The sequence below is a fragment of the Homo sapiens genome, chromosome 17 (assembly GCF_000001405.40).
Source record: "Homo sapiens chromosome 17, GRCh38.p14 Primary Assembly".
NCBI lineage: Eukaryota > Metazoa > Chordata > Mammalia > Primates > Hominidae > Homo > Homo sapiens.
The window spans coordinates 33,103,781-33,129,231 of NC_000017.11; the positions used below are offsets into that span (position 1 = coordinate 33,103,781).

General features: G+C 47.0%; 1 protein-coding gene and 1 long non-coding RNA gene across 4 annotated transcripts in view, besides 1 other annotated feature; one reads left to right on the plus strand and one right to left on the minus strand.

The window, feature by feature from the left end:
- Positions 1-25,451, minus strand: part of ASIC2 (acid sensing ion channel subunit 2) — a 1,143,682-nt gene that overhangs the window by 90,694 nt on the left and 1,027,537 nt on the right. For both annotated transcript variants that reach the window (NM_001094.5, NM_183377.2), the window contains exon 2: positions 8,137-8,287. In NM_001094.5, coding sequence (NP_001085.2) covers positions 8,137-8,287 — 151 coding nt within the window. The remainder of the gene's footprint in view (positions 1-8,136; positions 8,288-25,451) is intronic.
- Positions 8,226-25,451, plus strand: part of ASIC2-AS2 (ASIC2 antisense RNA 2) — a 40,225-nt gene continuing 22,999 nt past the window's right edge. The window contains exons 1-2 of one of the 2 annotated variants that reach the window (XR_934686.3): positions 8,226-8,379; positions 8,952-9,037. This is a non-coding gene — a long non-coding RNA (ASIC2 antisense RNA 2). The remainder of the gene's footprint in view (positions 8,380-8,951; positions 9,038-25,451) is intronic. The other variant, XR_001752836.2, reaches the window with a different exon arrangement.
- Positions 8,464-9,663: an enhancer, noted in NCBI's record as "CDK7 strongly-dependent group 2 enhancer chr17:31439262-31440461 (GRCh37/hg19 assembly coordinates)". NCBI's record gives its function as "activates an origin of replication core promoter dependent on BRD2, BRD4, P300/CBP, MED14 and CDK7 cofactors, with strong dependence on CDK7, by STARR-seq in HCT116 cells {active_cell/tissue: HCT116}" and the evidence as "EXISTENCE:reporter gene assay evidence [ECO:0000049][PMID:35650434]".

Consider the following 25,451-nt stretch of genomic DNA (forward strand, 5'->3'; position numbering starts at 1 on the left):
CCCTGTTTTTCTGCATAGCACCTCACCCATGCCCTCAGCTGTGCCTGATCTCTCCAAGTCCCGAGTTTGTAAGAGGGATATTTGTATGGCTGCTTCTGGCCATGGGAGGATGTGTGGGGGGCCTAATAGTTCCTTTTGTAGACTTTTAACTCTTCCTCCTGGTTTTACCTCCACCTCTCAAACCTGTCTTCAGCAGTATCTTATGCCTCTAATTCCCGATCCTGTCTGGGGGTTCTCAAATGATGTCTATTGGCCTTTGCTGGCTTCCTCAGTGCAGGCCCTCAGTTCTCAGCCTCGTGTAATCTGCCAAGTCGATTGCCACTCGTCCATCTACTTTACATCTTCCAAAAATTGGCTGGCATCTATTTACGGTTGTCTTTTCTCCCATCCTCTTTGTCCTTTGGGTTTATACTTACATATATAAAAAAAACCCTTCGATTGCCATTTAGGTGGGGTCTAGGAAGGGGGCCTCCCATAAACACATATGTTCAACCTACCATGTTTAATCAGAAGCCTAGAATGTCAGCTTCCCTGCAGTTCTGGTGTGCTGCAGAAAGGTCATGAGCTTCTTTCACCACCCCAGGAAAAGGGAGAGGGATGCTTCAAGTTGGTCTCTGGGATGGACACAGCCATGGAACCAACCAGCACTTTTAATCCCAATGACATCTGCCTCCCATCCAGTGGTTTTCAAACAGGGCATCCTCAGTGGTGCCTCAGGGTTGGTCACAGGGACCAAGGGAGAAAGCAAACGGGGGTTTCCATCTCCAGTGGGATCAGAGCCATGTTGCTTTTGTCTGTTTTCTACGTGGGACTGCGCTAAAGCTTTCATTCAGTATAATGATTCTGCTCCTGAAGAAGAAAAGAGGAAAAAATAGACAAGGAGGATGGCAGCAGACCTATCATTATATGCCATTCTCTCTTCAGAGATGCTGCCTAAACCTCTTTCCCTGTGCTATTTTCATGGCAGGGCTTTTATGACCACATTGTGAACATTAAAGGAATTTAGTGGAGGGAGCATCCCTTTTGGGTGTGGATGTGGGTTTTAAGCTTGGTTCAACTGCTTAACTAGGTATGTACCCTTGGGAAGCTTACAACCTCTCTGGGCTCTGTGTCCTCATCCTACAATGAGGATTCTAATACCTTGTTAGCAAGTGATTGGGAAGGTTCATGGCACAGAGTAGCTACTCACTAATGCAGGCTTCTCCCTCACCCTGGCCCTGGCAGTGTACACAATTTCAGCATTGTGTTTCCTCTCAACAAATATGTAGTGTCCTGATATACATCTGTGAGCCAGACAGTCCAAGGTCTCTGACTTCCTGGGACTTGTGTTTAGTGGAAGGGGCAGACAATAAAAAACAATAAGGAAATGAAGGTGATATAGTTTGGCTTTGTCCCCACCCAAATCTCATATTGAACTGTAGCTCCCATAATCCCCACGTGTCAAGGAAGAGACCCAGTGGGAGGCAACTGAATCATGGGGGTAGGTTTTACTGTGCTGTTGTTGTGATAGTGAATAAGTCTCATGAGATCTGACGGTTTCATGAAGGGGAGTTCCCCTGCACACACTCTCTTGCCTGCTGCCATGTAAGATGTGCCTTTGCTCCTCCTTCACCTTCTGCCATGATTGTGAGGCCTCTCCAGCTATGTGGAACTGTGAGTCCATTAACCTTCTTTTTATTTATGAATTACCCAGTCTTGGTTATTTCTTCATAGCAGTATGAAAATGGACTAATACAGTAAATAGGTACCAGTAAAGTGGGATATTGCTATGAAGATACTTGAAAATGTGGAAAACACTTTGGAACTGGGTAACAGGCAGCAGTTGGACAAGTTTGGAGGGCTCAGAAGAAGACACGAAAATGTGGGAAAGTATGGAACTTTCTAGAGACTTGAAGGGCTCAGAAGACAGGAAGATGGGGGAAGTTTGGAAATTCCTAGAGACTCATCAAATGGCTTTGACCAAAATGCTGACAGTGACATGGACAATGAAGTCCAGGCTGAGGTGGTCTCAGATGGAGATGAGGAACTTGTTGAAAGCTGGAGCAAAGGTCACTCTTGCTAGGCTTTAGCAAAGAGACTGGTGGTATTTTGTCCCCACCCTAGAGATCTGTGGAACTTTGAACTTGAGAGAGACGATTTAGAGTATCTGGTGGAAGAAATTTCTAAGCAGCAAAGCATTCAAAGATGAGGGATGAAGAGTAGGGGTGAGGGTGGCAATTTTAAACAGGGTAGTCAGGGGAGACCTCATTGAGAAGGTAATATCTGAGTGAAGAGTTGATGCAGGGAGGCAGTGAGTCATGTGGATATGTGAGCAAGGAGAATTCTCATAGCGGTTAATAGCAAATGCAGATGCCCCAAAGTGAGGGTGTTCCTGGAATATTCAAGAAGCAGCAGGGAAGCCTGTGTGACTAGAGCCAGGTTAACAAGGTGAGGGGAGGGCAATAGGAGCTGAGGAAGCTGGAGGGATACTGGGGTCCAAATCTTTACCCCGAGAACAGCATAGCTTTAAAAAATCATTCCTTTGCTCAAAAGCATACTTGACATATTATCATGTTAACACTAATTAACACTAGGATTTGGGGAAATCAGGGCAGATTGTATTTGATAAAAAAGTGTTTTTCATTGGAGTGCATGAAGGATAGAAGGAGATGTGAAAGGGAGGTGCCTATTTGTGGTCTTTCTGACACTCGAACCCTTTTAGAATTTGTTAGAAAACTCCCTGTACACGGATTCCGGTTTCCTCAGACGTAACCCACCCTCAATTCTCACCCTCACCCCCACTCACTCAGTGTGGCCATCCACAGGGCTGTCTGTCTAGCAGTTCTCTTGGGAGTGCCTTCTGCAACCACCATCGGCCCAACTTCTTTAGGACTATTACAGGGTCTCAGGTGAACTAATTCCCCTGCCCACTGCTGATTGGTCCAGGGGCGGGCACCTGACTGGAGCTGAGCCAATGATTCCCTTCCCTGTATTTTTTTTTTCCCCTAAACAGGACGTCTGTGAGAGTCAAAACAGTCTTTTGCTGGGGGCAGGATCTGTAAAATATAAAACTTAGGCTCTGTTAGGAGCCATGTGTGAAAAAATATGTGTGTGGGAAAAATAAGCCTGTTTCTAGTGACAGAATGAAAAGAATTCAGAGGGAGGAGGAGTGAGAGATCTGAGGATTTAGGAGCCTTGGGTTCCACTCATTCCTGAGGCTGTATCCCTGCCCCTCCTGCTGGCTGGTTGTCGAAGCTTGCCTTGGATTCTGAGAACAATATAATTTCTTTTATGCCTAAGCTTGTTTGATTCAGGTTTCTCATGTGCAACCTAGATAACCCACCGCCTATTCCTTTTATCTTTGAAGTTACTTAGAGGTATCTACACAGAATTTCATTTTTAACAACCTCCCTTTCTGCCTTCAATTTAATTTCCGTTGGAAAACCCTGGCCATGAAATCTGCACTTCTACAGTCTAGGACAGCTTTTTCAAAACTATATTCTGTGAGCTTTTCCATGAAAACGAAGGTTTCTGTGGTCAAAGGCATTTGGGAAATAAATGCTGCCTTGGCTATTCCTATCTTGGAGATTCATGATGTATTATATTAAAGAATTCCTGCAATGAATAAATGTGTTTAATATTTTTTAACCAGAATTCCCTAAATTCTTTTTGGGCCCTGCATCCTTTTTGTTCATAAACATGTTATATCCCAAACTCCTGATGTTCCATAGGGCTCGTTTTGGGGCATACTCTCTAGGACCACATGCAACTGAACCTCTTCCTTTAAAATGGCATATTATCACGGTGCCCCACATGAAGATGTGTGACCAAGGGGAGCACCTTGGTGTGGGGCATTGTCTGCCTGGAGGAAGGGACATTTTTGATAATTTTCATAGAGTCATTGTCTACTCACTAACCATGAGCCCATAGGGCTGGGTCTACCCAAAGAGGGTGTCTTTTGTTAACTTACTCCTTGGTGTCCTCTGTGTTGATGGTGGTCAACACCATCACCACCTCCCCAAAAGGTCCTTCCTGTTAGTTAGAATTATCCCCAGAAGAGTGGTTCCCTCCCTGCTTCCTGACATTCCTGAGAAGTGGAGCCATCCACAAGGCAAGGCAAAAGTGTTCCAGAGGCTCTGCTTTGAGCAGAATGGGAGTTCCAGATGTTGAGGTGCTGCAGAGCTCTGTCTTAGGTGTGGGATATTTGGAATAATCTCTGCTTCTGGAGTGTTTTTTTTGACCATCTTCCCACCTGCTGGTGGGCATGATCACCCTCTCATTGCTTACAGTTTGCAGAGAACTCTCGTTTGAGCCCTTCAGCCCTCCTGTAAAGCCAGTGGGTTTTATTTGTCTCTATTTTACAAACGAGGAAACAGAGGCTCACTCACTTGGCCTGAGTCACGCAGTTAGGAAAGGAAGAGCTGGGATGGGGTCTTGGGTCTGCTTGACCTGGTCATGCCATTTTCTCTGTCTTCCTACACTGCCTCCATCATTAAACTGCCTGGGCACACATCAAACTGCCACGGGCACATTTCAATTCCTTTCCTCTCCATCACCACCCAAATATCTCCTGGACTCCTGGGCCTGGCCTCCTTCCTCTGGGGATTGAGAGGTGGGAATGTTAAGGAAGGGAGATGGCATCTGTGGGGCCGCATGGTTTGGCAGGGCAGGAAGGCTGCCTCCTGATGACTGTGGCAGGGATAGGCCTGGCTGTGTCCATCATCCTCGGGATCAATGACCAAGCAGCCACGTGTGTCTGCGCCTCCTCAGGTGGCTTTACAGACAAGCATCTCTCACCTGCGAGAGCCCACCTCCCATCCTTCAACAGATGTGTTGGCTTCTCTCTCACCCGCATGGGACTCACCTCCCACTGGCCTAGGAAATAAGCAGCTTTGAGGTGACCAGCATCTGCAAGAGGCAGCACATTGCTCAGGGCCTTCTCAGCCTGAAGAAAGGTACGATGGAGGGAGCCCTAATGCAGGAATTCAAGGGTCTGGCTGAGGGGTCTGGGGGAAGTGACAAAACCTCAGCCTCCTTTTCTGGAAAATGGGGACAAGGAGTTCTGCCTGACACTCAAGGTCATGGTGAGGGGATTGCCAGGAATATGGAATAGTATGACCCGAGGAATATGGGAGGTGGCTGCAAAAGCCAAAATCCATGAAGTCAACCAGAGTTGTCAGAAGCTGTTTTCAAATATACTAACTGCTCTCCAATATGGTAGCCACTAGCCCCCTGCAGCTAGCTAATTTAAATGAATAAAAATGAAACTGTATTAAAAATTCAATTCCTCTGCAAAGACATAAGGATGATACAATGGACTTTGGGGATTTGGGGAAAAGGGTGGGTGTGGGTGAGGCATAAAAGACTACACATTGGGTACAGTGTACACTGCTTGGGTGATGGGTGCAATAAAATCTCAGAAATCACCACTAAAGAACTTATTCATGTAAGCAAACACCACCTGTTCCCCCAAAATCTATTGAAATTATAAAAAAGTTCAATTCCTCATTCTCCTAGCCACCTTGCAAACACTTGATTGCCACAAGGGGTTAGTGACTAATGTATTGGACAGAGCAGACAGACAACATTTTCATCAGCCCAGAAGGGTCTATAGGACAGCACTGATCAGATTTTTCTCTAACCTGTTTCTTCTGCCCCATCCATCCCCTGCCCCTGCTTTAAACCCGTTCTTCATACAGCCTGCTTCCCCAACTCCCCAGTCTCAAAGGAAATCGTCTAAGTGAGTGTGCTGGTCCATCTCCCAGGGATGACTCAAACTCTCAGCAGCAACGAGACTGGAGTTCTCTTGCAGAAACTGTGTGCACATCTGGCACCCCGAGTGAGATAATAAGATCCTGAAAGATGGGGTCTTTTCTCATGCCTCCTGCACCCCTGATGATGACCTGCGCAGTGTTAGCATGTGACAAGTCCTTAATCAAGATTATGAATTTTCTCTGAATTGGTATAGCTCATCATCCAGTCAGGTTGACTGAGGGTCCAAAAACTTGGGTCAGAACAGTCTTGGTTCAGCTATGAACTCACTGCATGACTTCAAAGACATCATTACTTCAAGCCAGGCCTCAGGGGAAAGAGAAGGTTGGCCTGGAAGAGATGACCTCAGAGGTTCTTTCCTGCTCTGACCATCTGTGGCTTTGAGGCAGAACACAGACTTTTTGGGTAGCCTTGTAGACTGCAGCCAGTGCTCAGACCAAGGCCATATCCCACAGGGAACTGTGCTGTGTGAGGATGTCTGTGATGGGGGTCTGGTACTGAGAGTGCATGTGTGTGTCTGTGTGTGTGTGTGTGTGTGTGTACATGTGCTTTTGCTCCTGAATCAAGATAACAGGCTAGGAAAGCTACCATTGTCATGGAGGGACATAACTAACTTCTGTTTAGGCTTTGAGTGTGGGGTCTCCATGACTCATTTTATTTCCTTATTTCTCTCTTCTACCACACAGATTAGATTAATCATATAAGTTCTGGTGTCTGCAAGAAGGGCCTCTCTTTGGGGACCAAGACTCCACCCCCTGGACTCCGGGTTGTCTACAGGCCCCCACGGTCCCAGGGCCTGGTTGGCCTCAGGATGCCCTGTCCACCAGCCCTCAGGGATGCCAGAGATCAGAACGGACACAAACCTTCGTCCCTCTGCATCTGGAAGGGCATTGAGTTGAGAAAAGTACACAGGATCAACAAAGTGTCTCCTCAGAGAGTGGCTGATGGGGCTCGGGGTGCCCTGGCGCCTGAGGTGAGCTTCCAGATGGCACTGGCGCAGTGACATGTGTGTGGCCATTTTATCTTTCAGTTGGAGGAGCAGAGGACTGGCTGTGATGGGAGGTAAATGGCCACACTCCCGTCCCTGCAACGGGGTGTTCGTGAGAGAGGGGTGGTGGGAGAGATCCTGGAGTTTGCAGTCAGTCCTCCTGGGGTGGAAGCCCTCGCTGTCTCAGCAGCCTGGTAAGCCTGGGTATGGTGAGTGCCAGACTCTAGAGTCCAAAGTCAATGGACTCAAGGCACAGGGGTGGCAACAGGTAGGGGCTGGGCTACTGGGGCTCCACCCTTTCCTCAGCCCCAACCTGAGGGCCCAGGGCCTCCCTCCTGCTGGAATCTTCCCTCCCCTCCCACTCCCCTGCAGGCTGCTCCCCACGCTCCTCTCTTGACCCACCTCTGCAGTCCTTCCTGTTATGCCCTGAACGCAGCATTAATCTTACTTTGGGTCCCCCTTAAATCCATGGTTCCCAGTCTTGGGCACCTCTTTACCTTCTCTTCCTGGTGAAATTCTAGAGGCTACCATCACTCCTTGGCTTGTGGCTGTATCACTCCAGTCTTTGCCTCCGTCATCACACTGCCTTCTCTTCTGTCTGACCTTCCTGAGCCCCTCTTATGAAGACTTCTGTGATTACATCAGGCCCATCTGGATGATCCAAGACCATCTCAAGACCCTGCTCAAATACCCTTGGTGCTTTCCCTGACCCTGTTCCCTGTGATTGTGTCTCTTCCTCTGGGCCGTGATCAAGGACTTGATCTTTTTCACCATAATGTCCTTACTTGGGTGCAAAGCCTGAGATAGTATACATGGTTTACGAATAGTTTGCTGAAGAAATAAATGAATAAATGAATGCATGAAATAAGCTTTAGGGTCTATACACATGGGTCTCCCAGGGGCTTACATAGGCACAGGCAAGGTGCCAGGTCCCTGAACCCACATCCTTTGGTATTCCAACACTTCCCAGCCCCTCCAGCTTCCCCCAGTGGGCGGCAGCCTGCTTTCCTTTCAGATCTTCTAATTGGGTCGGGATATTCAGGATGACTGAGAGAGAAAGAGGCTGATCCATCCTTCCCGCCTCTCCTGAAATCAAGCCACTCACCTGACCAACCACACCTGTTACTTCAAACCTTCCCCCATGCCTTCCTTCCCCCTACCTACCTTACCTCTCCAGTATTCCCATCCTCTGTCCCTCTCTCACATAGTAAAAGGTGAGGAAACCCAGGGCATCCCAGCCCAAGCCAGGGACATCTTTATGATCTAGCAGCATGTCACAAACCCCTTGCTGGAGAGCAGTCCCTCACAGGGTGGGCCAAGACAGCTCACCAGCCTTTCAGAGTCAGGCCTGCAACCCTCCACCATCACCCAATGCCCGGTCCCTGTGCCCAGCTCACCTGTCTCTCCCCAGATGGGCAGGTACTCATCCTGCTGAATGTCCAGCATGATCTCCAGCCCGTTGCCTGTCCCCCCCTTGACCGTGGTGAGCAGAGGTTTGCCATCCTCGCCTGAGTTAAACATGTAACACTTCCCATATTTTGTAAACACCTGAAGGAGAGAAGAGAGAGAGAGAGAGAAGCACATGGGTAACTTCAGACGGGGGTCCAGAGATTGGCGAGACCCCAGAAATCTGACAGCAGGTCAGAGTCCCCACAGCCCATCACCATCACCGCTCTCAGGAACCAGTGGTTTTTCATCCTGGCTGTGGGCCTGACTTGTACCAAGTGAAATTTTGGCATCAAAGAGCAAATCTGGATGCCCTTTGGGGTTTGTTGCAGTAGGATCTGGTCTCTTCTTCCTCTGAGCACTACCTCTGGGAGGTCCTGTTCACTTCCAGGCATTAAATGTCATCTGTAAACTCCTGACCCTTCAGTCCACACCTCCAGCCCTGGGCTCTCTTCTGGCCTCCAGACACACTAGTTTCACTCATTGTCTTATAAGCATACCTTTGAGATGTGCTTCAAGCAGACCCTGGGCACTCAGCTTGTCCAGAGGGAACTGATCTTCCTTAGCTTCCCCACCCCATTGGACAATTCTCTTGCACTTCTGTCCCAGGGAACAGCATCGCCATCTGCCAAGGGGTTCAAGTCAGGCCCTCAGAGTTGCTGCCCACTCCTGACCCAGAGGACCAATCAGGCAGCAGAGCCTATCAATAACCTCTCTACATCTGTCCTGAATTTAGCCTTTTGTCTTCCTTACTGCTGAAATTTAGGACCCAAGCGTTTTTTGACTGCATCACTCTGGTTTCCTAGCTGGACTTCAGGATTCCAGATGACCTTCTCCAGCCCATCCTCTAAGGTAACTGTGAGTCATTCTGGAATGCAAACCCTATCACATTAATCCTGTGCTGAAAACCCATTAGAGATCCCTACGCTCTTTAGGCTAGAATTCAGACCTGCCACACCCAGTCTTTTGCAATGCCCTCCACCTATTCCTCCTGCCTTTCACTGTGCTGCTTCCCGCCTGAGTCCAGCAGCATCCACTGGAAGGTAGACTCCAGGGGCTCAGTGACTACGTCTGCTTACTCATGCTTAGTACATTGCTGGCACACAATAGGGCTCAGTCAACTTTTGCTTGATGAAAGTATGATTACAAAGAGGCCCCGTGATGGTGTAGAAAAAGCCCAGGGAAAGGAATGCAGAGATCTTTGTCCAAGTTTTGACATTGCCACTTCTTAGTAGTGTGACTTTAAGTGAACCAAATAAAACCTCGCAGCCTCAATGTCTCCATCTATAAAATGGGGGTTCTGGTCTTTGGCTTTGCTACCTCTCAAGGTTATTGAGAGGATCAAATGAGGTAATGCATGCAAAAGTGCTTTAAAACTGCAAAAGCTTTCTACAAATGCTACGGGTTATGATGATTATATAACTGCTTTCAAACCTCGAGCTGAAGCCAAATTACATCTGGCAAAATTGGCTGGAAGAGAGCCAGGCTGACTGTATTGGATTCCTGCAGCCACAGAGATTTGGGTCTGGGCCACTTTCCTGAGCATGCTCCACTGCACTGTCCCATCCTACAGCATGGAGGCCACAGGGAGGCTCTTTGGCTTCCCAGCTTTCAGTGCACAGGCAAGTAAATAACAGAGGTGACTGTTGCAGGCTGCCTTTCTTATGTAAATCTTTACGGCTAGTTAGAAGAAAGGAAGAGGGGCTTCTACCCTGTGCCAGGAACTGTGCTAGATGCTTATCTGTTATCTCATTTAACTCTTACAACTGTGACCGTTGGCAGTTATTGCTTTACCTATTGTGCGGAGGAGGAAACCAAGGCCCAGAGAGGTTAAGTGACTTGCCTAAGGTCACACAGCTAGTAGCAGAAAAACTGAGATTCAAATCTACATCTGTCTGATTCTAACACATGTGCCCTTTCTGCTGTGCTGTCCTGGGAGGGACATGAGGGTTTTCGTCATTGGGACACTTCCTAGCCACATACTGCTCCTTTCTGCCTTGCTTTTCTCATCAGTCCATCAATATTCATATGCATATATTCCTACTATGTGCAAGGATTATGGGGACTGCAAAAAAGTACAAGCTCTACTGCTCGCCTTGAAGACCTGTAGGAAGGGGTAGTGAAACATCTATGTTTTTCCTCACTATACGAAACAGCTCTGAGTCCCTGGCCAGCTGCACTATTTCAGGACAGCCAATTCCTATTCTTTCAGCTTCATGGCAGAGGAGAACAGCTGGAATTAATGCAAAGTCCAAAGCAAATATGCTTTTTCAAAGAACCAAGTTTTTTCATAACTATTGCATATAGCAATTGAACTTGGCAAATGAACTTATCCCATGGAGACGTGTTCTTGGGGATCACTGTAATGAACAGATAAGAGCATTTCATAAGCACATCCATTGCAAGGCATTGAACACACCTGGAGTGAATTCTGGGGTGCTCCAATAGAGCTTTTCTTTGTAGACACTCTAAATATCCTCTCTGTCTCTTCAAAATTGCTTAAAATATTAATTTGCCTATCTGTATGAAGGGATTTGCAAGCAAAAGTAAATTTCAGCTTAGCATCAGATTATTGCAAATTCCAACTCCTTCACCTTTTAGTCCCTGAACTTCAGAATACTGGGCTGGGGTTAGAGAGTAGTGTGGACTCCTGAAATCAGCTGTGATCTTGGCCCTGCCAAAGCATGCCCAGTGCCATTGGTGAAGGTGTTGACCCTCCCTAAGCAACTGAAGATGATGACAAGGTGTAAGAATTGAAAAGGGTCTTAGAGATCATCTTGTTAATCCACCTTACTTTACATATTAGGAAACAGAGTCCCAGGAGAGAGGAAATGACTTGCTAAAGGTTACACAGCAAGAAAGTGTCCAACTGGGACCCTTTCCTTCCTTTATACCAGCCTCTCTCAGTTTTTCCACTTACAAAAAGAGGTGGAGGGTCTAGCGGGGTGCTAAGATCCCCCCATCTCTGAACTTCAATTGATCATTGACTGAGTGTCTGCTTTGAGCAGATACAGTGGGAATGGAAGCCTCATGAATTGAAGGCTTTCCCTGTCAAAGAGGGAGCAGAGAGGTCTTTATAGTGGGAGTGAGTAGAGACTTGTTCCCCATCCTTGACTGCCTCCTTGCTAGGGCTGGTACCCATCCTAGCCCAGGTAGCAGCTCCTGCAGCTGCCCTTGGTGTCAATGTAATCTTTCCTGCTCCTTCTTCTGGGGGCAGTGTGCTGGGGCAAGTTCACAAACGTGCCAGGTGTGAGCTGACATAGCTTAGAGCTTGGTCAAGGGTGGCGGTCACCAGAGTAGCAGGGGTGGGGAGCCAGAGGGAGACTGAAGCCAAATCAGAGAGGTGGCCAAGTGACAATCTATGACAGCTAAATTTTTTATCAAGTCAAGACCACCAGCAGAGGCCTAAAATCCTTGTGTGACTTCCTGTTGCATTTAGGATGAAGCCCCCAGTCCCCACTGGGGCCCTGTATGGTTGAGCCCCTGACACACTTTCTCCCTGCTCTCACAGGCTTCAAACATACTGGCCTCTTCAGTCCCCAGGATGTGCAGCAAGCTCTTCCCCGCCAGGCATTTCCGCATGCCTAGAGTGTTCTCTGCCTAGAATGTTCTGGCGCGCTTTGCCTGGCCAGCTCCTCCTGATCAGGCCTCAGCTTGAAAGCCACTTTCTCAGAGAGGTGCTTGGCTTCTCCAGGCTCTCAGCCTTCATTCATATCGGGACTTCTTGTTTTACAACCTCACATCCCTTATATTTTTCCATTATAGTGTCTATCAAAGTGTGTAACTGGATGGTTATTTACATGATTATTTGTTGGATGTGTTTTCTACCAGACTGTCACCTTCGAGAGGGCAGGAACTGTGTCTGTTTTATTGAATGAATGAGTGAATGAATGAATGAATGAGAGTCAAGGTGCTGCTGCCACACATTTCCTTGTGCACCTCCAGGAAATGCCCTTTCTGTGTTGGCTGGCCTCACTTCGTTCTGGCTGGAGCTCATGCTGACATCTTGCCCAGCTCCCCTTCCCTCCCATTCTCTGCTGGAGCCTTCTCACTTCCCACCTAATTGGACCTAAGCGTTTTTGCTTGCATCTCCATGAAGGCATTAGAGGAAATAATCCTTTTAGGAACTAAGATGACTGGGGACAGTTTACCTTCCTAGGTGCTGGCGGAGAGGCTCACGGAAAGCGAAACGCCCGCTCCCTGGCTGCATGCCTTTGCTGGTCTCTCCGCCTGGGCTGCTGAGCCTCCCGCTCCTGCCTGGCTTTTTTCAGAGGATTATTTTCCTCTCTGCTAAACATCAAAAGCCAGAGAGCTATTTACACACAGCGCAATTTTGCTACAAACTTGGAACAAGATGCAGCTCTTTCTGCATTTTGGGGCACCATGACGTGTAAGAACACACGCTTCAAATTTATGCCTTATCGCCCCCAGCCAGAAAATATAATTTATTTAAGTCCAGACTGTCAGGTTGAGCTCACTGCTTCTTCAGACCTGCTATTCTGCCAGGCATTTCTCTGCTTTCCTGGTAAGTGCTGACAGGCCCACTGTGGATGGCAGGGCTGCATTTGCCGGGTTGCTGAGAGTCTAGAATTGCACTTAGTTGGATTGGTCTGTAAGAATTAATTATGAATTAAGAAAGATGCATGTTTCAAACCTGGATCTCCAGGAATGGTGGGGGGTGGGGGCTCCTGAGATAAAAATAAGTCCCACAACTATCATTTTCATTCCTAATGCTTGCACAGTGTGTTACTGTTTAGAGATTGAGATTGCATATACATAGAACTTCAACTTTCTCAATGGCCCTTTGAAGATGGAGGAAAGGAAACTAACAATTCCTTAGCTTCTACTTTGTGCTGACCCCAGATTGGCACAGTCATAGTTTTATATAATTTTTTTTTTTTTGAGACAGGGCCTTGCTTTGTCACCCAGGCTGGAATGCAGTGGCACGATCACAACTCACTGTAATCTCAAACTCCTGGGCTCAAGCAATCCTCTCACCTCAGCCTCTTGAGTAGCTAGGACTACAGGTGCTCACCACCATGTCTGGCTAATTTTAAACATTTTCTTTGTGGAGATGAGGGTTTCACTATGTTGCCCAGGATGGTCTTGAACTCCTGGGCTCAAGCAATCATCCCACCTTGGCTTCCTAAAGCAGTGGGATTACAGGCATGAGCCACAGTGCCTGACCTCATTCCTCATTCTTCTTCCTCTTCTTCTTTTTTTTTGAGACAGAGTCTCACTTTGTCACCCAGGCTGGAGTTCAGTGGCATGATCTCGGCTCACTACAACCTCTGCCTCCTGGGGTCGAGCGATTCTCTTGCCTGAGCCTCCTGAGTAGTAGCTGGGATTACGGGCATGCACCACCATGCCCGCCTAATGTTTGTATTTTTAGTAGAGACAAGGTTTCACCATGTTGGCCAGGCTGGTCTCAAACTCCTGACCTCAAGGGATCCATCTGCCTCAGCCTCCCAAAGTGCTGGGATTACAGGCATGAGCCACTGCACCTGGCCCTCCTCATTCTTGATTATTGTCCCAACCACCCGGAAGTAGAGGCATTTTATATTCACATCCAGAAATGGAGAATCTGAGGCTGCTTAAGGCCACAGTGCCAAGGGGTAGCAGAGCTGAGACTCATGGGTGAGACCTTCCCATCAGAGACATTGAAAGGAAGGGACAGTAGGCTAAAGGCAGCTCACTGACAGCTAGTCAAGTCTGTGGTCATTCTCAATTCCAGTGTTCTCTTTTGCAAACTGGGCAAGGTAATCATGCCATGTAGTAGATTTGTTTGGGAGGTTACATAATGGACATCTTTACTTCTATACTCGAAGGAAGTACTATGTGTCTGCTTTTCGGCAGAAGAGAGATGAGTTATTTAAGTTATGAAGACGGGGTCAGAGATTAATTGAAAAATGGGGGTTTGGGGGTTCCTGTGCTCTCTGCTTATGTCCACACAATACCAAGCTCATCTTAAAGTAGTTAGAGGGGAAGAAAACAGCCACATGCCCCTGCTTGTCTATTCTCTGATGATGTTAAGCCTGCTGCTGGAAGCCCAGGGTAGCCAATGGGATTCCTGGGGGCCAAGGAGTTCTGTAGAAAGGGAGATGCTTCCATGCACACAGCCCACTTTGAAAATCTACATATGAGTTCCAGCAGCTGAATTGTAACTAGCTATTGATACAGTGGATACCACCAATCTGAAGTTGACACATTCTAAATCAGATAAACATAGAATAAAGTGTAGAATAAGGAGAGAGTCTCATTGGTCCTCCAGTAACTCTTCAAGTAGCTCTGAAATCACAGGCTGGCTTTGCTGCCCTCCCTGGAGTGCCTTCAGTGCTAGCCACTTTATATCTGCTATCGTTAACTTTTGCAACAGCTCTGTGAAGATAATATTATCATCCCCATTTTACAGATAAGGAAACTGAGGCACAGAAAGGCTGAGCCAGGTCACAGAGCTGGAGGAGCCAGGGTGAAATCACTCTTGGCCTAATTCCAAAGTCTATACTCTTTGACCCCATCCCTCATAGCCACGGCTCATATCCTTACCCCTCTCCCAGCCTACTTTGTTCCTGGCAGACTAGTGAGGCTGGTGCTTTGCTGACATTAGAGCTCTCCCACCTGGTAGTGGGGGAGGCACATCTCAGAGTCAGAGGAACCCGAGCAAAGTGCCAGACACCAAAAATCTTCGCCTCCAAACTTCTTATTTTGCACCTGGGGAGTCTAAGGTTCAGAGGGGTGAAATGACTTGTCCCAGGTCACGCAGCTAATCTGGAGGGAGAGTAGAGATCTGACCTGGGCTTCATGTCTTGAACCTCTGCTTTTCCTCGAAGCCTTCTGTTTGCACATGCCAGGGCTTGGAAATAATGGCTAGGATCCTTTTCCTGGAGCATTGCATCCAGGCATAAGAGTAAGATTGGCAGCTGCTGCCAAGCCTAGATGCCAGCCTCTGGGCTTGGTGTGATCTGCTGGGGTATTCCGCCTTACAGAGTTTGGGAAATGCAAAGTGGAGCCCTTACTGAGAGGAGTTAGGAGTAGCTAATACCCATGAAGACACGGTTTTCTGGTCCAATTAATAGTGCAAACAACATTTCTACGCTGTGTACCTACTTAAGAAAATAAATTATGTATAAGCCCCCTTAAGGACTGTTGAAACATCCACTTACCAGCACACAGCTGGTCCTGCAAGCATCAAACCTTCTAACCTATTCATTAATCCTGACCTTTAGGGCTTCTTCTGGGTGATGGGTTTCTCATCTCTTCTTGCTTATTACACGTGAAGGAAATGAAATTGCACTGCTCCAAAATGCCTCTAAAACTTAGCTGTTTTTTCTCTTCCCTGAGTCAATTCCGCTTTCTTCTCAGTGAGCTACTGAAATTTCTCATTAGACTGTTTTCAAAATAATATGCTTGTTAAAGCTAGCCATTTAGTTTTGTTTTGTTTTTCTCTTTCAAACTCCTCAAATACATTTCACACAATTGGGAAGTGAGAAAGTCTGTCAAATGGGTTACCAGGCTTCCAGTAAACAAAATGAACCTGGCTCTTGTTTTCTGAAGTTGCAATTAAGGAGCTTGTCAATTAAATGAAGCCAGAGGGATTTATTAGCAAGGAAGCTGCTGTAGATGGTTAGCTCTTTGAAGGTAAAGACTGGATCTTATTAAAAAACCTGCTTGCTCATTCACCTGTTCCTGAAACAGGAATTTTTTGACCACCTATCATGTTCTAAGAAGTGCTGCATGGCTGTGCTTTTTCTCACAATGAGTTTAAAAAAGTGATTTCAATAAACACTCATGTAAGCATCTCCATGTGGCAGGTGCTGTTTCTGAAAATAAAGGAGATGAGGCGAATGTGACCGCAATGCAGCCCCTTTGCCCTTCCCAATCAGGAGGCCACATGTTTTTCAGGACATCATTAATGTCATTCTCCTTAGAGGCTACTTTTTCTGGGGAGAAAGGGAAGGATAAGCAATCATGTGGAGCATGAGTGGGCACTGTGCTGATTGCTTTGAACGCTCCGTCTGTTAAGGCTCACAAAGCTCTTGGAAGTAGATGTTATTCTTCCCAGCTTACAGCGAGAAGACTGAGGCTCTGAGAGGCTGCATACCTAGCCCAAGGTCCTACAGCTAAAGAGTAGTTTGCCTGATTTTTCCCTTCTTATGTAGGGGTTGCTGGAATAAGGTTTAGCATTATTTGAATGTATGATATGGTAACGTGACCCCCTTCTCCATGCCCTGGGGCCCATCTGCTGTGATGTGACATTTCCTGTGCTGCTTTCACTAACTGGCAGAGACCTTCTAGTCTCCTGCTTCCAAGACTGAAGCACAGCCGGGGCCTTTTCTGCTGGGCAGCTGTCCAGAGAGCTTCAGACCGTGCAGGAAGAGATGTGTGAATGCTATGCAGGAAAAAGAGCATCAAGCGCCTGCAAATCTGTCTGTTGGTTGGGAAAACAACACGAAGGGGAACAACAGGCAAATCTTAGTGTTCTCCTTCAATTGTGTGGACAAATGTGTTCTCCTGGCAGATGACACAGAGGCAGAGGGGAAGGCTGAAGGCACTGCAGTCGTTCACCTGGAAAGGCATTCAAGATGCTGGGCCTCTGCTGCTGCATCCCTCCTGACAACTCATCTGAGAATCCCAAATTTGGTCTGACTTGAGATGATGAAGTGGAAGGTGGGGAAACCAGAGCCTTTCATGTTGGACCACAGCTTGGCTGGTTGGGGGAAGAAGGTTGACAGGCATTTCTGGGTTTGATGGAAATTTCAAATGGGACACAATGACAGGTTGCTTGCTCTTTCTTCTGAGGTCTCTACTGTCTGTCTCCTGTAGATAGTAGGGGTTGTGTCATTTTCATCTCTGTGTTCCCAGGGCCTGGCCTGGTAGCTGGTGTACAGAAGGCACTTAATGGGAGGTTTGGGTGAAGGAAAAAAAGCTAATATGGAATTGGGGACCAGGCAGCCCTGGTTTCAAATCCTGGCTCTGCCACTGATTTGGGTATCTTTTTGGTTCTTCATCTTTTTGGTTCTTGAACGTGCATCTCAGCAATGCTGGTAAGAATACCTTCCAGTGGAGCTGTTGTAAAGATCAAAAGGGGTATAATGGGCCTGAAAGTTCTCTGTAGAAAAACAAAAAGGCTCCGCCCAGGCAGGGAGTATTCCTGCTTATGGCTTGGATCGTGCATAAGCCCTGCAGGAGCTAGGGAGGAAGAGAGTTGCTATTTGGCTGTGGATGTTGAATCTCAGATGTTGTTCCATCCGGGACCATGCCTGTGGATCTCTTGTTCATTTACTTAGTGAGCATCTCTAGAACACCTCTTGTATTCCAGGAACCACATCAGGCCTTGGGGATACAGACATGAGCCACCCTTTAGGAATCACCCAGTGGGGAGGGTGGCCTGCAGACAGGTACTGGGTGGTGCCAGGCACTGTGGGAGTGCACAGAAGGAAGCTGCCTGGTGGGCAGTGATGGGGGGATGGTGGTTTTCGGGGCATGGAGAAGTGTTGTGAAATTTCCCCTAGGGACAGTGGTGGCGACAGCAGTGGTATTTAGCAGGTTGAGACAGATCCCCTAGACTGGCTCCTTGTCTTAGCAGGGCCATGCTAATGCTTTCAGAAAGGCCAGTGGTGCCAGTCCATGCTTCTGGCTACCTGCTGAGCCCTGCCTATCTGCTCATCATTCCAGCTGTCTTCCACACTGGAACCTCACACCCTCAGGTAGACAACTATGGGCTCTACTAAGAGGCGGGCAGAACTGTAGAAGAACACTGACCGTGGAGTCAGATTATGCTGGCTGCATACCTACTACATGCCAGGCACTGTGCACAATGAATAATGGAGCTTAGCTTTCACAGAGTGGATAATTATTAAGACAGAGATGCAGTGACTGAGAGGAGTTAGCATTTGATTCTCCCCAAGAGAACCTGTCAGCCTCAGAGATCTCCCCAAGGCTGGCTCTCTGATCTGCCCACTGCCAACACATCACCAGACCACACCTAGGAGCATACGGCCAAGACAAGTAGATTAAATAAGAGGAAGCACATTTGTAGTGAGCCAAGGCTGACTGTGATGAGCACCCACTTGGCTGCCACCAGATGTAGGAAGCAGAACCCAGGAGGAGTTCCCTGCTTTTAGGAGGGCAAGAACCCAGGAAAGAGTGAGGGAGAATGTGTGGCCACAAACCATCCACAGTCTGCTCCCATTCCCATCTCTGTTGTCCCTACTGCCTATTTCCAACCCTACTGGCATGCTTCCTGCAGCCCTTCCTGTTCCAGTTCCCAGGCACAGCAGACTGGAGTCAGGGGTGCTCACGGTACAGCAGCCCAGACACTCTGGGATGTGGCTCCGAGGCTGCCACGTTCGGTGGAGCACATCTTAGTCTACGTTCGATCACCCATGACATGATGGATTTGAAGTGCCTAGCAGAGGGTACTCACTTGATAAAACTAGCTAATAATATTATTATTAATAGGGATTCTGCACCTGAACTCTGATATCTGAGCTCCTATAGGATGTGATTTCTGGGCTCATGGTTCCTGTTAGAAGTTTCTTTTTAATATTTGATGTTTTTTGGTTTTGTTTTTTAATTGACGCATTTATGAGGTATAACATGATGTTTCAATACATGTATACATTGTGCAATGATCAAATCAGGCTAATTAACATTTCTACTACCTCACATACTTATCATGTCTTTGTAGTTTAAATATTCTAAATGGAGAACATTTGAAATCCCCTCTTTTAGCAAGTTTGAAATATACACTCTTATTAACTATAGTCACCATGCTGTGCAACAGAATACCAGGACTCGTTCCTCCTGTCTAACTGAAACTTTGCACCCTTTGATCAACATCTCCCCATTCCCTGTCCATCCCCCTGCACTGCCCCAGCCTCTGGTAACCAGCAGTACAAATGACCAACAGATATATAAAAAATGCCCAACATCACAAATCATCGGAGACATGCAAATTAAAGCCACAAGGAGATATCACCTCTCATCTGTTACAGTGGCCACTACCGAAAAGATGAAAGATAACAAGTATTGGTGAAGACGTAGAGAAAAGGGAACATGTGTACACTGTTGGTGGGAATGTAAATTAGTACACTCATTTCAGAAAACAGTATGGCATGTCCTCAAAAAACCAAAAATAGAATTACCATATGATCCAGTAATCCCACTTTTGGGTTTATAGCTAAAGGAATTAAAATCAATATGCTGAAGAGATGTCTGCACTCCCACTTTCCTTGAAGCACTATTTACAATAGCCAAGATTCTGAAACAACCAGAGCACCCATCAATGGGTACATGAACTTTAAAAGGTGGTATAGATACGCAATGAAATACTATTCAGCCTTTAAAAAGAAGGCAGTTCTGTCATTTGCAACAACATAGATAAATCTAGATAAATAAGACATTATGCTAAGTGAAATACGCCAGGCACAGAAAGAGAAATACCACATGATCTCACTTATATATGTGGAATCTAAAAAAATTGAACTCAGAGATAGTAGAATGGTGGTTGCCATTAAAAGCTTTTTTTTTAAACAGTTGCTTGCCTAATCTTGTGATTACAACCCTATTCTTGCTTCTAACTGCTGCATGCTGAATTTACGGGAATACCTGCCTGCTTGGTTTTCCTGTGGCTGTGCCCAGATCCCTTCTGGAACGTTTCTTGGGCATTCTTGCAAAACTCTGCATTACTCTGACTGGCTATTTCTGCTCAGGTGAACTTCGCTTTCCCCGCGCCTTCCCAGCTCCTATCCCATGGGCTTGGGTGGGCTAATTCCTACTGCTGTGAGTGTGCTTTATGCCTGGATGAACAACCCTGAGATCAGACACATGTCACTCCTTGCACCTGCCTCATTACACACCTGCTGGGAATATCCCTTCTTTCGTGCAGGTGTGGAATGGGAGAAGGAAGAAGAGGGGATCAGAAGTGTGTTGTGTTGTGTTCCTGGTTAATTTTGCGTTATTCTACAGGGCTGCATTGAAAGCGATGCACCAGTGGAAACCAAATGATAGTTTATGATGTTTACAGAAGAAAAGCACATGTTTCCATTAATGGCAGGGCAGAAAACAATCCCAAGGCAGGCTGATTCTAAAAGCTGATCAAGAAAAGGTCAAATAGGTAACGACCCATATGGCACTAAAATCCTCATACCACATTCTTACTGAGTTCATGTTTTCTTATTAAAGTCATATTTCAGCTTTTCCAGGAACTGCTCGGAGAATGTCATTGTCTGCTAGTTTTCCCCACAGCTGGTCTTGGAGATTGAGTATCATGGAATTTTAGTAGCAAAGCTTACATTATGAGTGTTCAAAGCCATCACAGATTCACAAATGCAGAGAGTTTTCTATAGTTTAATCAGATTGCTTTCCTGACATGTGAAATTAGGGCCTGGCTGGGAGATACACAGCATGCATGATGCCACTCTCCTTTCTAGATCTGTAACAGACATAATTGATTGATCACAATGCTCTTTCCCTCTGGGACTCACAATTGTTTTCAGCCCAATAATTTTGGCTGCCACTATGGGTCCTTTGGAGTTGGCAAGTTAGATAAACACTATTTGCCATTTTTGCACCAGAAGCATATGAGTGCTACTGGTGGTGCCAGTGTCTCTGTAGTAAAAAGCAATGCCTGAAAGTGGGGAAGGGTTTGAGCAGGTGCCACAGGGCAGTGGTCCCCAACCTTTTTGGCACCAGGGACTGGTTTCATGGGAGACAATTTTTACATGGACTGGGGAGAAGGGGGCGATGGTTTCGGGATGATTCAAGCACATGACATTTGTTGTGCACTTTATTTCTATTATTATTACATTTTAAAATATAAAGAAATAATTAGGTAACTCACCATAATGTAGAATCAGTGGGAGCCCTGAGTTTGTTTTCCTGCAACTAGACAGTCCTATCTGGGGGTGATGGGAGACAGTGACAGATCATCAGGTATTAGATTCTCTTAAGGGGGGCACAACCTAGATCCCTCACATGCACAGTTCACAATAGGGTTCACGCTCCTGTGAGAATCTAATGCTGCTACTGATCTGAGAGGAGGCTGAGTCAGGCAGTAATGCAAGCAATGGGGAGTGGCTGTAAACACAGATGAAGCTTGGCTGGCTTGCCCGCCGCTGACCTCCTGCTCTGTGGCCCAGTTCCCAACAAGCTGGGTTGGTAACAGTCTGTGGCCTGGGGGTTGGGGACCCTTGCCACAGGGCAATATGAGGGTCACAACTTGAGGGCTTGGGTAGAAGGGACTCATGAGTGACAGAGGCAGAGGTGGTATCTTGCATATTTGACAAATATTTCTTAGACTTGGCCCCTGTACCATAGAAGAGAGAGCATAGGCTTTGGAATCAAAGCATGAGTTTGCCACTTACTAGCTTTTTAAGTTGGGCTAATATTTATTCAGTATCCTCATGCCTTACTGTCTCATCCTGGGAGACTAGAATCCCAGGGGAGTGTGGTTTTCATTGTGCCACAGTTCCTTGAATTATGAACTAAATATCAAAGGACCTAAGATGATTAGAGGCTTTCACAATGAAAGACAAAACATTTTTAGTTCATTCAACATCTAATGAGCAACTATTACATGTCAAACACCGTGCTAGGTCCTGGGAATACAAAGATAAATAAGACATGGACACCAACCTCAGGTAGTTCATGAGCTATAAGAAATGAAGATAAAATAGCTTAAGATCATCAGGGAGATAAAGCAGCTGTAATATCATCATGGATTCATGCACATTAACTTACAGAATGCAACTCTTCAGCGTAATTGCATAAAGCAAGGTCCACCTGTTCCAGCCTATTGTTCTTGTCGAGCTGTGGGCATTCAAGGGCCTGTTTTCTGCTACTGCTTTCACATCAGTTCACCCTACAGCCTTATCTTTCCTGTCCTCTTCACACCCCTACCTCCCCTCTAGATCCCTGGAACAGGACCAGGACTAGGATGGGGCAAATGAAGACCTAGGGCATGAAATTTAAGGAAGCAATTATTTCGGGGGTTGCACTTGCATTAACCTGAGTGTGGGTGCCTCCTTAAATTTTGCGTCTTAGTCCAGCTCCTGCTCAGGACAAAGTCAGATGAAAACAGGAGGAGAGACAGATGTGATGAAAGGGAGTGACAACTTGTTCTCACAACAAACTTGCAAAATAGACACTATTGTCCCATTTACAGATGAGGAAATTGGGGTTCAGGGAAGGTGAGTTACTTGCAGAGGCATCACGGACTCGTGAAGTGCAAGCAGGAAGAGAGAAAGAGCACAGGCTTTTTTACTGAGATGGATCCAAGTGTGAAGCCCAGTTCTATGGGGCCTGAGTCATGTGACCTTGGGTCAGTTACTTGTTTTCTCTGACCTGTTTCCTCATCTGAAGAATGTGGATAATAATCCTTCTCAGGGTTACATGGAAACGAAGTCCAGTCTCCTCCACTTTGGTCTCTGTGACTCTACTTTTTCATGTGTCGAATGGCCTGGCCACACCTGCCTCACAGAGTTGCCAGGGAGACCATGAGTTCTGAGGGGTTGTCTGAAGGATCAAATGTCAGTTCTAGCCAGGCATGGCTCACGCCTATAATCCCAGCACTTTGGGAGGCTGAGGTGGGGAGATCACTTAGGGTCAGGAGTTCAAGACCAGCCTGGACAAGATGGCGAGATCCCATCTCCACTAAAAATACAAAAAATTAGCTGGATGTGGTGGTGTGCACCAGTAGTCCCAGCTACTTAGGAGGCTGAGGCAGGAGAATCGCTTGAACCGGGGAGATGGAGGTTGCCGTGAGCCAAGATTGCACCACTGCACTCCAGCCTGGTGACAGAGCAAGACTGCTGCAAATCTTTTCCAGAAGGATAATTGAGACTTATGCCACATGTCAGGCGAACCTCCCAGCAACCCTACCATTACTCTTTTTTTTTTTTTTTTTTTTTTGAGACGGAGTCTCGCTCTGTCGCCCAGGCGGGACTGCGGACTGCAGTGGCGCAATCTCGGCTCACTGCAAGCTCTGCTTCCCGGGTTCACGCCATTCTCCTGCCTCAGCCTCCCGAGTAGCTGGGACTACAGGCGCCCGCCACCGCGCCCGGCTAATTTTTTTTGTATTTTTAGTAGAGACGGGGTTTCACCTTGTTAGCCAGGATGGTCTCGATCTCCTGACCTCATGATCCACCCGCCTCGGCCTCCCAAAGTGCTGGGATTACAGGCGTGAGCCACCGCTCCCGGCCGCAACCCTACCATTACTCTTGTTGCTAGAGAAGCGGTGGCAGAATCCATGAGAGGCTAAACAACTCTCTCAACGTCATGCAGCAAGTCAGGGGCAGACGTGGGATCTCGACCCTGGTCTGTCTGATTAAGAAGCCCTGGGAACTCTGCCTCCCAGGATGCAGAATGGGGGACAGCAAGAAAAAATATTTCTCAGCAATGGAACAATACCTAAGATTTGCACTTGAGCATGTTCCATTGTGCCTGAATATAAATTAGACAAAGTGCAAACCAGCATGTGAAACCTCTTGAGTACCAATTCCGTCCTAGACATGGCAGAGGGACGCCTTGAGACTCTTCAGGGTGGTCTGGTGGTGCTGCCAATTAATGATATGAGTCTTTGCTCTACCCCCAAATTCAACTGAAGTTTCACAACTCTTTTTCTCAAAGCCAGAGAATTGAGGGAGACAGCGTTGTGGCTTTCTACAGGTTTAAGTCTTGGTTCTGTTTTGAAAATGTCGCTCTAGTTAGTTTCCTCCTCTCAGTCCTGCCTACCTTCAGCCTGCAACCGAGTGAGCTGCTCATCTCTTACCTGGTTAACTGCCACAGCCTCCTACAGAGTCTCCCACCCCACTCCCTTCCTCCTCCATTCATTTTCCACATGGCAGTCAGGGAGATGTTTTTCAAAAGCAAACGCCCCTGCTTAAACCTCTGCAAGGCTGCAAACTTCTTGGTTTTGGGCTGGCATATTGTTGAGAAATCACAAGACCTGGGCCCCACCCAATTCCTTCTAGCCTCTTCTCTCCTGCACTACATGAGTCAGCTCTGCCCAGCCCTGCCTTTCTCCAAAGACACCATCCTACTTCATAACTCTGTGCTTTCAGACATGCTGACATCTATGCTCAGAACATGTCCCTGCCTTCATTGAGTTAACTCTTACTCATACTTCATACTCCAGCTAGGGAATACTTCCTCCAGAAAGCCTTCCCTGACAACCTACCCACTGCTCGGAATGGCTGACATGCCCTCCTGGGGCTTTGCCAGCACCCTGTGCTCCCCTCCATCCTGTCACACTGGACAGTCTGCTCACTCCTACTTGAACTTCAAATCTCAGCTGGCTCTTCCAAACCAAGGTCAAGTCTGATGAAGGGAGCCCTTTTCTTGGTACCACATACTTTTCCTTCAAGCCCCAATTGCTGCATATTTGTGTGTTCAGCTGATTGATGCTTGTCTCTCCACACTAGACTATAAGCTCTAGGCTATCTTGCTTTTGCTCACTTCCTGGGCTCACTGGGAAGCAGAATGGGGATGGAGACTTGCATGCAAGAGGTTTACTGGGCAGTGTCCTTGGGCTCCACACCCACCGATCACACCCATGCAGGAGGGAAGTTGGCAGGAGAAGTTGAATTTCCATGTAGTTGTAACAGAGGCCTCAGCTGACCTGTGGGGAGTTTTGGAGTGGGGGTGGCCCTTCAGAGCTGTCCTGGATTGAGGCAAGGTGCCAGAATTTGTATCCCCATTGGATTTGGGGTACCCCTGGGGAAAGGACGGAACTGTGGGTGAGGTGCCTCTCTAATTTAGAGGGCAATTCCCAGGCTTGGAATTTCCAGAGTGAAGCAATGTCAGCTACCAACACTCACAGTCGGTGAATGCATGAGTGCCTTAGTTTTTCAAAGGTGGCCATAGTAGTCACCATACTTCCATAATTCCAGTATCTGCCCTTATTCCAGGGACACAGTGAGTGTGCAACAAATGCTGAATCAGTGAATACGTCCATATATTTTTCTCTCTTTGCTCCATCCCTAAAGAGTGGGACTGTTTCTTATTTATCCAAGTACTCTAGACACAGCTTAGCTTAGCATAGGCACTCAGTAGAAATTTGTTGAATGATTGAATTAAAAAAGAATGCATGAAAGAGATAATGCTGCAATTTGGTTTATAAAGAAAGATAAATCTGGACACAGCTCAGCTGTTCAGAGGCTATGTAAAGTGAGTACACCTGTGTGGCCCTGCCCTATAGAGCCAGCATCCCAGAAAGTAGAAAATTTGGCAGGTGGGCAACACCTCTCACGGCAAACCCCTTCCT